We start from the raw sequence: 15,658 nt of genomic DNA on the forward strand, positions 1-15,658 counted from the left end.
ACATGAATGTTAATGATCACCTTGTTGTGGTCTTTGCCCTAGAGTGACAGCCCGTGCTTCAAAGAGCATGAATATACGGAGTTTGGGAAATGGATGGATGGCTGGGAGACCAGGAGGAAAAGGATTCCAGGTAATAACAACGGTTCGTTCATCGAAGTGCAGCTGACACTGCAAAGTTAAAAACGCAGGCTGTGGCAAAGCCAGTGTCCGTTTTGGGTCAGCTTTAACATGGGGCCCTGGAATGCTCTGTAATCTTGGATGTCCTTATCTGAACATCAGGCTCTAAGTCAGGAAGGGGCAGCGTGAGCCCGGGTCACTGACGTCCCACCAGGCACAAAGGGTGAGAAGCACGTTGTCGGGAAAATGAAAACCCTGGTGAGGTCTGCGGATGGAAAAAAGAGTGGATTCTCACTGAGCAATGTGGCAGGCATTAGGCAGCGTGCATCTTCTGGGTCCTTACTACAGTCCTCTGGAGTAGGTCTCTTTATCCCCGTTTAACCGCCATGGAAACAGATTCCTGGACTCAGCCCAGGGCACACTGCTAGCAAGATAAGCTGGGGACTGGGCCAGGGTCTGTCCTCAACACTGTACCCGCTGTCTTTTACGATTTTATGCAATTTTTATTCATTGCTATTACTCAGTCTCAATCAAAATATACCTTCTGAAGTTGAAGAAAAGCAAACAAATCCAGGCATTAGGTTGATAATTGGATTTTTACTTGCCACTATCTCAAGTATTACAGAAATATTTGATATTTCTAGTTTTCTAACTTTCTACAGTACTTGAAGCAGTATTAGTTTCTAACAAATCTGGACATTTTAAGGTGAGTTAATATCTGGCAGTAAATAACCAAGAACTCAATAGTGGCAGACTTGACTTCAAGACTCTGAAGGCTTTGGTAGATGCAGGCAGGTGTCTGACCAGTGGTGGGGCTGGAGGCTGGAGGGTGCTGTGTCAGTTCCTGAGCTTGAGAGGACAATGAACACAGTGTCTGCAGGAGAACCAGCTCTGCTTACTACCTGCTGAGCTTGGTGAGGTGCTTTCTACATCGCACACTCAGTCTAAGCTTTATGGAAGCTAACGGCATCCCTAATTTACAGTTGAGAAAATGAGATTCTCTACTGTAAGAGGTAAATAATTTGCCAAGGACAGTCATAGGAAATGATCCATTTGGAACCAGAATCAGGTCTTCCTGGATCCCAGCCTGTGCATTTTCTCTTCTGGCTAGAACTGAGGATTTTCGTTGGGGAATGGTGGTCACATGTGGCCAGGTTATGAGAGATCCTACAGTCATATTAGCTAAGAACCGCCCTGAACAGTTTTTTCTGTGATGGACGGAATGGCCCCTGCTGTGGGTCAGGTGCATGTGGGGTGCACTGCCTCGCATGCAGCATCTGCTGTGTTGGCCCTAACGAGACTGCTCTTGTCCTCTGTGTTGCGCAGGTCACGACTGGTGTGTCCTCAGGCTGGGGATCCAAGGAGTCATCCGGGGCTTCGACGTGGACGTTTCTTACTTCACGGGAGATTACGCTCCTCGAGTGTCCATTCAAGCAGCAAACTTGGAAGAAGGTGCGTTAGGAACCACTGTCCCCAAAATGAGAATTATGGGTCACATGGCTCCTCTGGCCAGCCACAGCCCCACAACTGCTCACTTTCCCTACCACCCAGACAGCTTCAGGCGCTTGACTAAGGCTACTTTACTGTAACGGGGCTGTAGGACCAGGACTCCTAGTAGAGCGCTCTGTGGTTTTTGATTTGTGGCTTAATAGTGTTAACAGCCAGATATAGATTTTATCATTCCCACGGTCCTTCAGCTTCACGCAGAGGCAGGCCATCATCCCTGGAACGTGGGTGAGCAGGTTGCTGGTGGGCGGGAGGGAGTGGTTTGTGCCTCAGATGACCCGGGTGATGTGGACCCAGGTCTGGGACAGCTGTGGGGTGAGCAGCACCAGCCCTGCTTTGGGCTGTCCCAGTGTGTGTGATGGGGGAGCTGCTATGGCATTTTAGGCAAGGGTTCCTATCTGCATCTTGGAATGCTGGACCTATGAATCCTGCAGGCTCTATAAATGAGACGTATTCTGTGAAAGGGCCATATACACAGAGCAGACCTCAGGTGCTGAAGAAGCCAAGAAACCAAAGAAAGAGGCTGACAAATCCAGTCTGTTGGTAACGGGTATTTTATTGGGGGAACTTACGGACAGAAGCGTGGCCTTGGGCAGCAGCGAGATGGGTAAATCTCTGCACTGTTACTGCCCGGACTCAGGGCTCACATGCTGTAGGGAAAGGGTCTGCGTGCTCCAGCGGGACAACTGAAGGCAGCCTCCAGAACAGGGAAGAGGGCGGTGTGCGTCACAGCCTCTGATTTGTGCGATAATATCAAGGTTGACATGTTCTGGACTAAGGACAGTAAATCAAGTTGGAAGCAGGACGTGTTCACAGGATTGAGGCTAATCAGACATTGACATGGCAGATTCGCATCCAAGATGGAGTCACTTTGTCTCCACAGACTTTCTGTATTTTTATTCCTTTGTTACCATCTGATGTTGACTTTAGCATTAATTAAAAAAAATATACAATTATGTGTGTGTTTATACATGTACTTAGGGAAGATAAGTCAATGTGGGTTGGCAAGTTTACACTGAACATGCTATGTGCACAGCGCTGCATGAGGCTCTGTGGACACGAACGGGCCCTGCTCCCTGAAGATGGCTGGGGCACCTGAACAGGAAATGATGCTACAAGAGATGCTACTCTAAAAGCGGAAATGACCAGTGACAAACGAGTAAGATTGTTTCGGCAAGCCCCTCAACTGCCCATGAGTGCTTCTATTTCTGAATTGCCCCAGTATCAATTCTAAGGATGCCACTGGGAGAGGTGGTGTTTCTGGAATTGACCTTGTAATAGTCCAACTTTGAAAACTCTAGCGATGTGATAAACTTGTTGAAGTTTGAGCTAACTTGGAGATGACATTTACTGTTTGACAAGCAAATGTAGTATCAAACATCTTGTACTATTTTTTGAAATGACTGTTAATATATTAAATATTGAGGAACTTCAACAAGTGTGTCTATTACTTTGATCATTTGATACTTCGAAATATCTTTAGTGTTATTTGCAAAGCGAGAATTACCATACAAACCACCAAGAGAGTAGATTCCCTTTGATTTTGAACCCTAATCTTAATCCTGAATGGTCATTCCAACTACAGATAAACTACCAGAAATCCCAGAAAGAGGAACCAGGACAGGAGCTGCAGCCACTCCTGAGGAGTTTGAAGCCATTGCTGAGGTACATCTCCCCCAAATGAATTGGGTCTTGTCACCAATTATTAGGAGAGTAGGGAAACTGCTCTGCACACCTGGCTGTGCAAGGCGATTCTTTGGGACGCCCAGCCCTGATGCTCCCCACATCATTTGCTTACCCACTGTGGCCTTGCAAACGTCTCAGTGGTTCATCAACCTGGGAAGAGTGAGCATCATGGCCCAAAGGCTTCTCAAAGGGTTCCACCAGCACCCATCTGCAAATGGCTGCTGGCCCCGATAAGCACACATACAGAAACTGATAGTAAGCGTTTAAACACTTTTTATACCAACTTGATGTAACTTGAAGTAACGTTTGTGTTTGGAGAATTTAATAAAAGAAACGGGGGAAAAAAATAAATAGGGCTTGTGTTTTGGTACATTCTTGTTTTTTTAATGTTTATTTAGTAATAGTTTGTATTGTTTTTTACAGAAATGTTGATCCATAACAGACAGGAAAGTAAATAACAGGAACAGTAAACAGGGCCGTTAGTTTGAGAAGTGCTAACCTAGAGAAAATGGTTGCAAGGCTCAGGCCAGCAGATTTCCCCAGAGGTCATGGAGCATGGCAGTAGCCTTGGTTTTTATTTGAATGTTCACCTCACCACACCTCAAGGTGAAGACATTTGGAGGGGTCTGAGATCTTGTCCTTCATTTGCAAGCATCTGCCACCATCACCCACTGGCTGTTTTGATCAGTGAAAACAAAACAGGCCTTTATTCTGTTTTTTATTAAACATGGGGCTTGATATGTACTATTTTTATTAAAGTGTTTCATTAGGTATCCATCATTATTTATTTATTTGTTTGTTTATTTTTTGGGACGGAGTCTCGCTCTGTGGCCCAGGCTGGAGTGCAGGGGCGCGATCTCGGCTCACTGCAAGCTCCGCCTCCCAGGTTCACGCCATTCTCCTGCCTCAGCCTCCCGAGTAGCTGGGACTACAGGCGCCCGCCACCACGCCCGGCTAATTTTTTGTATTTCTAGTACAGACGGGGTTTCACCGTGTTAGCCAGGATGGTCTCGATCTCCTGACCTTGTGATCCGCCCGCCTCGGCCTCCCAAGGTGCTGGGATTACAGGCGTGAGCCACCGTGCCCGGCATCCATCATTAATTTTTATTCCAAAGTATCTCCACACCTTAAGTGCCACAGAGGCAATAGGATGACAGAATTTATTGTTTTCAAGAGCAATTGCTGACATTTCTATATTTATTGCTAGCTAAAATCCGACGACTGGAGTTACTTGGTTCCCATGACTGAGCTTAAGCCAGGAAACCCTGCTTCCGGCCACAACTATTTTCTTGTCAATTCCCAGCAGAGATGGACTCATATCAGACTCAACATTTTCCCAGGTAATCGTGACATGGACTTATCACCAGTTCCATGGCTTCTTTATTTTATGTTGACATGTTTATAAAATATAAAATGACTTGCTCTTTCCTTCTTGGTAATTGATCTCTCTAGCATTTCAGGATTGTAATTTCTCCTTTTTATGCTCTAGAAAATTCTTGTTTTAATCCACACATCAATAGGTGGTTATTGAAAAATTATCAAGTAAATTAGGATGTGGTGGAACTAAGTTGTATTAGGTTAGATAGATCCTAACTAGATTTCACAAGTATGTTATATTAGCAGCTGAAGTGGTATGTACAAATGACTCATTTTATTTTTTAATAGCTTTATTGTGATATAATTAACATGCAGTTCACCCATTTGAAGTGTACAATCAATGATGTATAGCATATGCATAGACACGTGCAACCATCACCATACCTTTAGAACATTTTTATCATCTCAGAAAGAAACCCCATATCCTTTAGCTATCATCCCTCATCTTCCCTATCCCAAAGCAACCACTAATTTGCTTTTTGTCTTGATAGTTTTGACTATTTTGGACATTTCATATAAGTAGGAATTATATAATATTGGTCTTTTGTGTCTGACTTTTTCCACTTAGTATAATGTTTTCAAGATTCATCCATGTTGTAACATGTATTAACACTTTCTTTCTTTTTGTGTAAGGCTAATATAGGTTGAGCATCTCAAATCTGAAAGCCCCAAAATTTGAAATGTTCCAAAATCCAAAACTTTTTGAGTGCTGACATGATGCTCAAAGGAAATGCTCACTGGAATATTTCAGATTTTGGATTTGGGACACTCTACCAGTAAGTATAATGCAAATATTTAAAAAAACTGAAATCCAAACACTTCTGGTCTCAAGCATTTCAGATAAGGGATACTCAACCACTACCACATTTTGTTTACCCGTTCATTAGTTGACAGACACTTGTTTCCATCTGCTGGCTATTTTGAACAATGCTGCTGTAAACATTTGTGTACAAGATTTTGTGTGGATATATGCTTTCTTTTGTTGAGTGTATGCCTAAGACTGGACTTTCTGGGTCATATGATAACTCTGTGTTTAACTGTTTGAAGAATTACTAGGCTTTTCCGAAAGTGCTGCACTATTTTACATTCTTAACAGCCACGTAAAGGAGTGCTGATTTCTCCCTGCCTTTCCCAGCACTCTCTGTCTTACTTTTTGTTTATAGTCATCCTAGTGGATGTGAGGTGGTGTCTCATTGTGGTTTTGATGTGCATTTCCCTGATGACTAATGAGGAGGAACATCTTTTCATATGTTTATTGGCCATTTGTATGTTTTATTTGGAAAAATTTCTCTTCAGATCTCTATTCACTTGTCTTAAATTTCAACAGGTTTTTGGGGGAACAGGTGGTGTTTGGTTACATGGATAAGTTCTTTAGTGGTGATTTCTGAGATTTTGGTGCACCCATCACCAGAGCAGTGTACACTGTATCCAATGTGTAGCCTGTTATCCCTCACCCCCCACCCTTCCCCACATTGTATCATTCTTATGTCTTTGCATCCTAATAGCTTAGCTCCCACTTATAACTGAGAACATATGATGTTTGCTTTTCCATTCCTGAACTACTTCATTTAGAATAATGGTCTCCAACTCCATCCAGGTTGCTGTGAATGCCATTATTTCATTCCTTTTTATGGCTGCATAGTATTCCATGGTATATGTATATATACCATATTTTCTTTTTTAAAATATTTTCAATTATGGGCACATAGTAGGTATATATATATTTATGGGGTACATGAAATGTTTTAACACAGGCATGCAATGAATAATAATCACATCATGGAGAATGAGGTATCCATCCCCAATCCATTGTGTATATATACCACTTTTAAAATCTATTCCTCTGTTAATGGGCACTTACTTTGATTTCATATTTTGGCTGTGACATTGTAAACAGTGTCACAGTAAACTTGGAAGTGCAGATATCTCTTCAATATATTGATTTACTTTCTTTTGGATATATACACAGTAGTGAGATTGCTGGATGAATCTATTGTTGTTCTATTTTTAGTTTTTTGAGGAGTTTTCATAGTTTTCCATAGTGAGTGTACTAATTTACATTCTCACCAATAGTGTACATGGGCTTCACTTTCTCCACATCCTCGCTAGCATCCACTATTCCCCCGTCTTTTTAAATAAAAGCGGTATTACTCTGCTCTCACGTTGCTATAAAGATACTACCTGAGACTGGGTAACTTACAAACAAAAGAGGTTTAATTAACTCACAGTTCTACATGACTGGGGAGGCCTCAGGAAACTTACAATCATGGCAGAAAGAGAAGGCGAAGCAAGGCATGTCTTACATGGCAGCAGGATCGAGAGAGAGAGAGAGAGACAGAGAGAGAGAGAGACAGAGACAGACAGACAGAGAGAGACAGAGAAAGGGGGAAGAGCCACTTTTAAACATCAGATCTCACAAGAACTCCCTATCAGAAGAACAGCATGGGGAAAACCACCCCATCATCCAATCACCTCTAAGCAGGTCCCTCCCTGGACATGTGGGGATTACAATTAGAGATGAGGTTTGAGTGGGGATACAGAACCAGACCATGTCAAAAGCCATTTCAACTGAGGTGGTATGACATTTCATTGTGGTTTTGAGTTGCATTTTTCTGATGATTAGAGATGTTGAGCATTTAAAAAATATACCTGTTGCCCATTTGTATGCCTTCTTTTGAGAAATATCTATTCAGAACTTTTGCCCATTTATAAATTATTTTTTTTGCTACTGAGTTGTTAGCTATTGAGTTGTCCTTATATATTCTTGTTATTAATCCCTTCTTAGATGGATAGTTTGCAAATATATTTTTTTCCAACTCTATGGGTTGTCACTCCACTTTGTTATTTCCTTTGACAGCAGCCTTTTAGCTTGATGTAATCCCATTTGTCTGTTTTTCCTGTTGTTGCCTGTGCTTTTGAGGTCTTACACACAAATATTTGCCAAGACCAATGTCCTAGAGCATTTCCCCAAGGTTTTCTTCTAGAATGTTCATAGTTTTAGGTCTTAGATTTAAGTTTTTCATCCATTTTGATTTCATTTTGCATAAGGTGAGAGATAGGAGTCTAGTTTCATTCTTCGGCATGCAGTTATCTAGTTTCCCCAGCACCATTTACTGAAGAGACTGTTCCCCATTGCGTGTTCTTGGTGCCTTTATTGAGAATGAGTTGGCTGTAAATGTGTTGATTTATATCTGGGTTCTCTATTGTGTTGTCTGTTTTTATGCCATAACCATTCTGATTTGCTTATATAGCTTCATAGTACATTTTGAAGTCAGGTAGTGTGATGCCTTCAGCTTTGTTTTTTTGCTTTGGTTATTCAGGGTCTTTCATTTAAATTTTACTTTTTAAAAATATTTCTGAGAAGAATATCATTGGTATTTTAATAGGGATTGAATTGAATCTGTAAATTGCTTTGGATAGTACTGTCATTTTAACAATATTAATTCTTTCAATCTAGGAGCACGGAACATCTTTCCATTTTTTCTGTGTCCTCTTCAATATATTTCACCAGTGTTTTATAGTTTTCCTTGTATAGCTCTTTCACTTCGTAGGATAAATGGATTCCTCAGTATTTTATAGTTTTTGTAGCTATTGTATATGCGATTGCCTTCTTGTTTTATTTTGTAGATTATTCACTGTTGGTGTGTATAAATGCTACTGACTTTTGTATGTTGAATTTGTATCCTGAAAATCTACTGAATTAGTTTATCAGTTCTAATAGTTTTTGGGTGGAGTCTAGGTTTTTCTAAGTATAAGATCATATTGTCTATGAAGAAGGAGAACTTCACTTCTTTCTTTTCAATTTGGATGCCATTTATTTCTCTTGCATAATTGCTCCAGCCAGGACTTCCAATATTATGTTAATAAAAGCGGTGAAAGTGGGCATCCTTGTCTTGTTCCGGATCTTAGAGAAAAGGCTTTCATTTTTTGTCCATTAAGTATGATGTTACCTGTGGGTTTGTCATATGTGGCTTTTGTTATTTTGAGGTAGTTTTTTTTTCTATACCCAATTTATTGAGGGTTTTTTTCTTATCATGAAGTGACGTTAAATTTTATCAAATGCTTTCCAGCATTTATCGAAATGATCATATGGTTTTTGTTCTTGGTTCAGTTAGTGATGTGTCATGTTTATTGATTCATGTATGTTGAGACATGCTTGCCTTCCTGGAATGAATTCCACTTGATCATGGTGAGTGATCTGTTTATTGTGTTGTTAAATTCAGTTTGCTGGTATTTTGTTGAGGATTTTTGCATCTATGTCCATCAGTGATATTAACCTGTAGTTTTCTTTTTTTGTTGTTGTCTTTGTCTGGTTTTGGTATCAGGGTAATACTGGCCTTGTAGAATGAGTTTGGAAGTACTCCTGCTTCAATTTTCTTGAAGAGTTTGAGTAAAATTGGTATTAGTTATTCCTTTTATGTTTGGTAGAATTCAGCAGGGAAGCCATTAGGTCCTGGAATTTTCTTTAATGGGAGACTTTTTAAATTTCAGCTTTTATCTCATCATTCATTATTGGTTTATTAAGGTTTTCTATTTCTTCATGGTTCAATCTTGGTAGATTGTATGTGTCCAGAAATGTATCCATTTCTTCTAGGTTTTCCAATTTGTTGGTATGTAGTTGTTCATAATAGTCTCTAATTGATCTTTGTAATTCTGTGGTCACATTTCCTTTTGGCTGAGTACAGTGGACTTTATTGATGGTATGTGACAGGATGTGGCTCCCTAGGCCCCTCTCTTTTCAGGGGGCCTGGCATGGAAACTGTGTCAGGGGGAGATTCTCAGTATGGTGGGAGAGTGAGTGTGGCAGGGACTCCCTAGCAGCTGAGAACCTCTCTAATCTTCTTGTGCTCTTGCTGGGGCTGGTGGTCCAGGGGCTCTTACTCTTTGGAGGCCATGTGGACCATGAGGCCTCCACTACCCTGTTGCCAAATTCATTGTCATACCAGGGAATAAGCTTGACAAAGTAGTCATTGAGGGAAATGCCAGCCCCAGCATCAAAGCTGGAAGAGTGAATGTCTGTTAAAGTCAGAGGAGACAACCTGGCACTCACTATAGCCCAAGATGCCCTTGAGGGGGCCCTCCAATGCCTGCTTCACCGCCTTTTTGATGGTGTCATATTTGTCAAGTTTCTCCAGATGGCAAGTCAGGTCCAAAATGACACAGAGGTGGGGATATGGAACACCATGCTAGTGAGCTTCCATTCAGCTTGGGGATGACCTTTCCAACAGCTTTGGCAGTGCAAGTAGATGCAGAGATGATGTTCTGTAGAGCCCTGTGGCCATCCTGCCAACGTTTCCAAGAAGGGGCACCCATGGTCTTCGGAGTGGTAGTGATTGCATAGGCTGTGGTCATGAGTCCCTCCATAGTGCCAAAGTTGTCATGGATGACCTTGGCCAGAAGGGCTAAGTAGTAGGTGGTGTATGAGGCACTACTAAGGATCTTGAGGTTGTTTTCATACTTCTCATGATTCACACCCCACATAAACATAAGGGGCATCAGCAGAGGGGGCAGAGATGGTGGCTCTTTTGGCTTACCCCTCTAAGTGAGCCTCAGCCTTCTCCATGGTAATGGAGATTCTAGTGGGCTCAACAACATAATCAGCACCGCTGTCATTTCACTCGATTTTGGGGGGGATCTTGCTCCTGGAAGATAATGATGGGATTTCCATTGATGTCAGTCTTCTCATTCTGAGCCTTGATGATACTGTGGAACTTGCCATGGGTGGAAGCCTACTGGAACATGTAGGCCAGGTAGTTGAGGTCAATGAAGGCATCATTGATGATGACAATATCCACTTTGCCAGAGCTAAAAGCAGCCTTGGTGACCAGGTGCTTAATGTGGCCAAATTTGTTTACTCTGGCCTTCATTTTCACCTTGTTGCCTCAGGAACCCAGCTGGCACTGCATAAAAATATGCAGGTGTCTGTCAAATGGAAAAGAGAAGAGAGCCAGTCTCATTTTTTATGTATCCTTCTCTATTTCTGATTTTTTGGGGTCTTTTCTCTTTGTAATTAGTCTAGCTAAAGGTCCATCACTTTTGTTTCTTTTTAAAAAAACAAGTTTTTTGTTTTGTTGATCCTCTGTATTATTTTAGTTGCCATTTATTTATCCTCTGATCTTTATTTTTTTCTTCTACTAGTAATTTTGGGATTGGTTTATACTTGCTTTTCTAGTTTATTGAGATGCATTGTTATATTAATTTGAAGTCTTTCTACTTCTTTGGTATAGGTATTTATTGCTATAAACTTCCCTCTTAGTACTGCCTTTGTTGTATCCCATATATTTTTGTATGTTGTATTTCCATTTTCATTTGTTTCAAGCATTTTTAAAATTTCCTTCTTAATTACTGACCCATTTGTTGTTCAGGAGCATGTTGTTTAATTTACATGTGTTTGTGTATTTTCCAATGTGTCTCTTATTATTGATTTCTAGTTTTATTCCATTATGGTCAGAAAAGATACTTGATATGATTTCTACTTTTTTGAATTTGTTTAGACTTGCTTTATGGCCCAAGACATGGCCTATTCTAGAGAATGTTCCATGTGCTGATGAAAAGAATGCATATTCTGCAGCAGTTGGGTAAAATGTTCTGTAATGTCAGTTAGGGCCATTAGATCTAGTGTGTAGTTCAACTTCACTATTTCTTTGTTGATTTTCTGTCTGGACGATTTGTCCATTACTGAAAGTGAGGTGTTGAAGTCCCCTACTATTATTGTATTGCAGTCTATTTATCCCTTTAGATCTATTAATGTTTGCTTTATATAAGACTTGAAAGCTCTGGTGTTGGACACATAGATATTCATAATTGACCCATTTATCATTATACAGTGTCTTGTCTTTTTTTTTTTTTAACAGTCTTTGATTTGTAGTCTATTTTATCTGATATAAGTGTAGCTACTCCTGCTCTTTTTTGGCCTCTGGTTGCATGAGATATCTTTTTCCATCCTTTCACTGTCAGCCTATTTGTGTCTTTATAGGTCAAGTGGGTTTCTTGTAGGCAGCATATAGTTGGGCCTTGTTTCTTAGTCCATTAAGCAACAGTATACCTTTTATTTGGAACATTGAGTCCATTTACATTCAGTATTGTCATCAGTAAGAGCTTACTGTCATTTTGTTGCTTGTTTTCTGATCCCCTCCCCTTCCCTTCCCTTCCCTCCCCCCTCCCCTCCCCCTCCCCCTCCCCTCCCCCCTCCCCTCCCCCTCCCCTCCCCCCTCCCCTCCCCCCTCCCCTCCCCCCTCCCCTCCCCTCCCCCTCCCCTCCCCTCCCCTCCCCTCCCCCCTCCCCTCCCCTCCCCCCTCCCCTCCCCTCCCCCTTCCCCTCCCCCCCTCCCCTCCCCTCCCCTCCCCTCCCTTTCCTTTCCTTTTCTTTCTTTCTGCCTTAGTGGTTAACTAATTTTCTCTGATAGTATGTTTTAATTGACTTTTATTTTTAGCAAATCTATTATAGGTTTTTGCACTGTGGTTACCATGAGGCTTATAAAAACATCTTATAACAAGTTATTTTAAAGAGATGTCAACTCATCTTAGATCACAAAGAAAAAAATAGAAATAAACAAAGAAAAACAAAAAAAAACTCTACATTTTTAACTTTATCCCTCCTCCCACATTTTGACTTCATGTTGTCTCAATTTGCATGTTTTTATATTGCCTATCTTTTAACACCTGTTAAAGATATCAACAAAAAGATTATTATTTTTGATAGATTTGTCTTTTGGACTTCATACTAGAGTTATGAGTGAATTACACACTATAATTACAGTGTTGGAGTATTCTGAGTTCGTTAATGCACTTAATTTTACTAGTGGGTTTTATAAATTCAAATGTTTTCTTTTTGCACATTAGTGTTTTTTTTTTTTCAAATGGAAGAACTTTAGCATTTCATTTAAGACTGGTGGTGGTGAATTCTCTCAGCTCTTGTTTATCCAGGAAAGATTTTCTCTCTCTTTCATATTTGAAAGATAGCTTTTCTAGATACAATATTCTTGGATGGCAGTATTTTTTTCTTTCAGCACTTTAAAATGTCATCCCACTTCTTTTTGGCCTGTATGGTTATCATTGAGAAGTCTGTTGTCAGATGAATTGAAGCTTCTTTATGTTATTTGCTTCTTTTCTCTTGCTGCTTTTAGGATATTTTTATCCTTGACTTTTTTTTTTTTTCTTGAGACAGGGTCTCACTTTGTCACCCAGGCTGGAGTCCAGTGGTGCAATCACAGGTCACTGCAGCTTCAACCTCCTTTGGCTCAGATGATTCTCCCACATCAGCATCCCAAGTAGCTGGGACCACTGGTGCACACCACCATGCCTGGCTAATTTTTGTATTTGTTTTTTTTTTTGTAGAAATGGGGTTTTACCATGTTGCCCAGGCTGGTCTCAAAATCCTGGGCTCAAGCAATCCACCCACCTTGACCTCCCAAAGTGCTGGAATTATAGGCATGAGCCATCATACCCAGCCTGTCCTTGACCTTTAGGATTTTTTATATGCCTTGGAGTAGTCTTATTTGGATACAATCCATTTCTTTGAGCTTTCTGTACCAGGATATTTATGTCTTTATCAAGTTTTGAAAAGTTTTCTATTATTTCTTTGAATAAGCTTTCTACCCCTTGCTCTTGCTCAACTCCCTCCTCAACACCAATAATTCTTAGATTTGATCTTTTGAGGTAATATTTTATATCTTGTAAGCAATCTTTATTCCTTTTCATTTTTTTCTCCTCTGTGTATTTTTAAATAGCCCATTTTGAGCTCACTGATTCTTTCCTCTGCTTGCTTCATTCTATTCTTAAGAGCCTCTAATGAATTTTTTGGTTCAGCAAATACGTTTTTCCATTCAAAGTTTTCTGTTTGATTTTAAAAAATTATTGAAATTTTGTTAAATTTCTCTGATAAACTTCTAAGCTGCTTTTGTGTGTTATCTTTGAGGTCACTGAGTTTCCTTAAAACTGCTATTTTGAATTATTGATCACAGAGTTCATATATCACTGTCTTATTATGATCAGTCACTGGTTCCTTGCTTTGTCCATTTGGGGATGTCATAGTTCTTTGCTGTTGTTTCTTATGGGTATACATCTATGCCTGTGCATTGAAGCATTAGTTATTTATTCCAGTCTTTTCTTTCTGGGTTGTTTCAGTTTTTGTTGAATATATTTGCTTAGATGTAGGGAGTGTCCAATATTTTAGCTTCCCTGGGCCACATTGGAAGAGGAAGAATTGTCTTGGGCCACACATAAAATGCCCTAACACTAACGATAGCTGATGAGCCAAAAAAATTTTGCAAAACAATCTCATACTGTTTTAAGAAAGTTTATGGATTTGTGTTGGGCCACATTCAAAGCCACCATGGGCTTCATAAGACCCACTGCCCATGTGTTGGACAAGCTTAGCTTAGAGAATCATTATAAATTTCCTGTTGATTTTATTTCCTGCTAGGTAGCTGCCTACTTTTCAGCACTAGATGGCACCTTAAGTCCAGGATTGCTTCATTTGTAGTAAGCAATCAAATTACTGCCCATCAGAATAGGGGAGGTCCCAGGGAGCATATTCTAGTGGTGTGGGAAGGTTAGCTAGGTGTTTGTCTCTAGGGGACCTGTGGAACAAACCTCCTACAACATGGTGTTGCTGAACAGCAACTCTGATTTGGTGTTTCCTCTGGCTGAGTTACAGGGTTTGCAGGGCTGGGGATGTCTCACCCTCAGTGTGAAGCCTCCACCTTATGGATCATGAGAATGGGTCACTGTGGCCCCAATATCTCAAGGTAGGACCCTGTCCCATGAGTCAGGGCTGGGTCAAATAAAGGAGCCCCCGCCTCTCAACCACACTCACCCAGGGCTTAGCCTCAGTAACAGGCATATAGGGGCAGGATGAGAAGCCCTGATGTCCTGCCTCTCCTGGGAAGACAGCCCTGCAACCATGGGCTGCACTTGTTTGCAGTCTCCACTTTGCTGATCTGGGAGAGGGTGTGCAGGTGAGGTCTTGGTTCAAATACCGCAGACTCTCACTGTTCTTACTGAATTTTAGCAGATATTCTTGAATAGATGTTGCTGAATTTTCCGTATGCCCTTAGGACCATTTCCAGAGACCTGAAGTGTTTTCCCATCCCTCAACCCCCCTAAATTTTACCAGCTCCACTGAGGAACAGGACAGCAAAGCTCTCCTGCTGTCATGCCAGAAGTGGTTCTCTGGAACCTTATTTTAGATGCAATGTTTCTCTGGTTATGATGCTTTAAAGTGAGACATGAAAATGGAAAGATCTAAACACGTTTACTAATATTAATTACTCACTGAAATAATCTATTCTAAAAACAGTGCAAGAAAATGAATGAGCAAAGCTTACAAGAGAGTCAGACCTTTTCCCCACTTGTTAATTTAACATACACTGTGGAATAACTACTTTGAGCTACAGACTGAGCATTGGCCATAAAATCATTTTCCTGACAATGTGTAGGGCAGAACCAACAGAGTGTATGCTTCATGAAGAAAGGGCTGTGAGTCCAGATTGTCATTTTTGTACACCTGACACTTAGCACAGCATGGGGAACACAGGAGAAGCTCCATAACTATTTGTTGTTAGATTTGACAGAGTCCTTGTCCTTATGAAGTGAATAACCCAGTGGGAGACAGATAAGAAAAATAACTTTGGAAAGAGGCCGAGGTGGGCAGATCACCTGAGGTCAGGAGTTCAAGACCAGCCTGGCCAACATGGGGAAACCTTGTCTCTACTAAAAATACAAAAATTAGCCAGGTGTGGTGGCGGGTGCCTGTAATCCCGGCTAGTTGGGAGGCTGAGGCAGCAGAATCGCCTGAACCCGGGAGGCGGAGGTTGCAGTGAGCCGAGATCGTGCCACTGCATTCCAGCCTGGGCAACCAGAGTGAGACTCTGTCTCAAAAAGAAAACAAAAGAAAAAAAACAAAAAACTGCAAAATAGTGATACATACAACAAAAGTATTTTGGTAGAGCCATAAACATTTCTATTTGACT

The 15,658-nt window shown here is 41.0% G+C and overlaps 1 protein-coding gene and 1 pseudogene across 6 annotated transcripts in view; one reads left to right on the top strand and one right to left on the bottom strand.

Annotated features, from left to right (window-relative positions):
* Window positions 1-15,658, top strand: part of ALLC (allantoicase) — a 56,853-nt gene that overhangs the window by 32,607 nt on the left and 8,588 nt on the right. For 4 of the 6 annotated variants that reach the window (XM_017004495.2, NM_018436.4, XM_011510369.3 and 1 more), the window contains 4 exons: window positions 43-130; window positions 1,444-1,569; window positions 3,209-3,288; window positions 4,517-4,649. In XM_017004495.2, coding sequence (XP_016859984.1) covers window positions 43-130; window positions 1,444-1,569; window positions 3,209-3,288; window positions 4,517-4,649 — 427 coding nt within the window. Of the gene's footprint in view, window positions 1-42; window positions 131-1,443; window positions 1,570-2,696; window positions 2,783-3,208; window positions 3,289-4,516; window positions 4,650-5,322; window positions 5,463-15,658 lie in introns of those variants that run through there. The other 2 variants (XM_017004497.1, XM_017004498.1) reach the window with 2 other exon arrangements.
* Window positions 9,359-10,634, bottom strand: GAPDHP48 (glyceraldehyde 3 phosphate dehydrogenase pseudogene 48; annotated as a pseudogene).

The sequence above is a fragment of the Homo sapiens genome, chromosome 2, assembly GCF_000001405.40.
Source record: "Homo sapiens chromosome 2, GRCh38.p14 Primary Assembly".
Taxonomy (NCBI): Eukaryota; Metazoa; Chordata; class Mammalia; order Primates; family Hominidae; genus Homo; species Homo sapiens.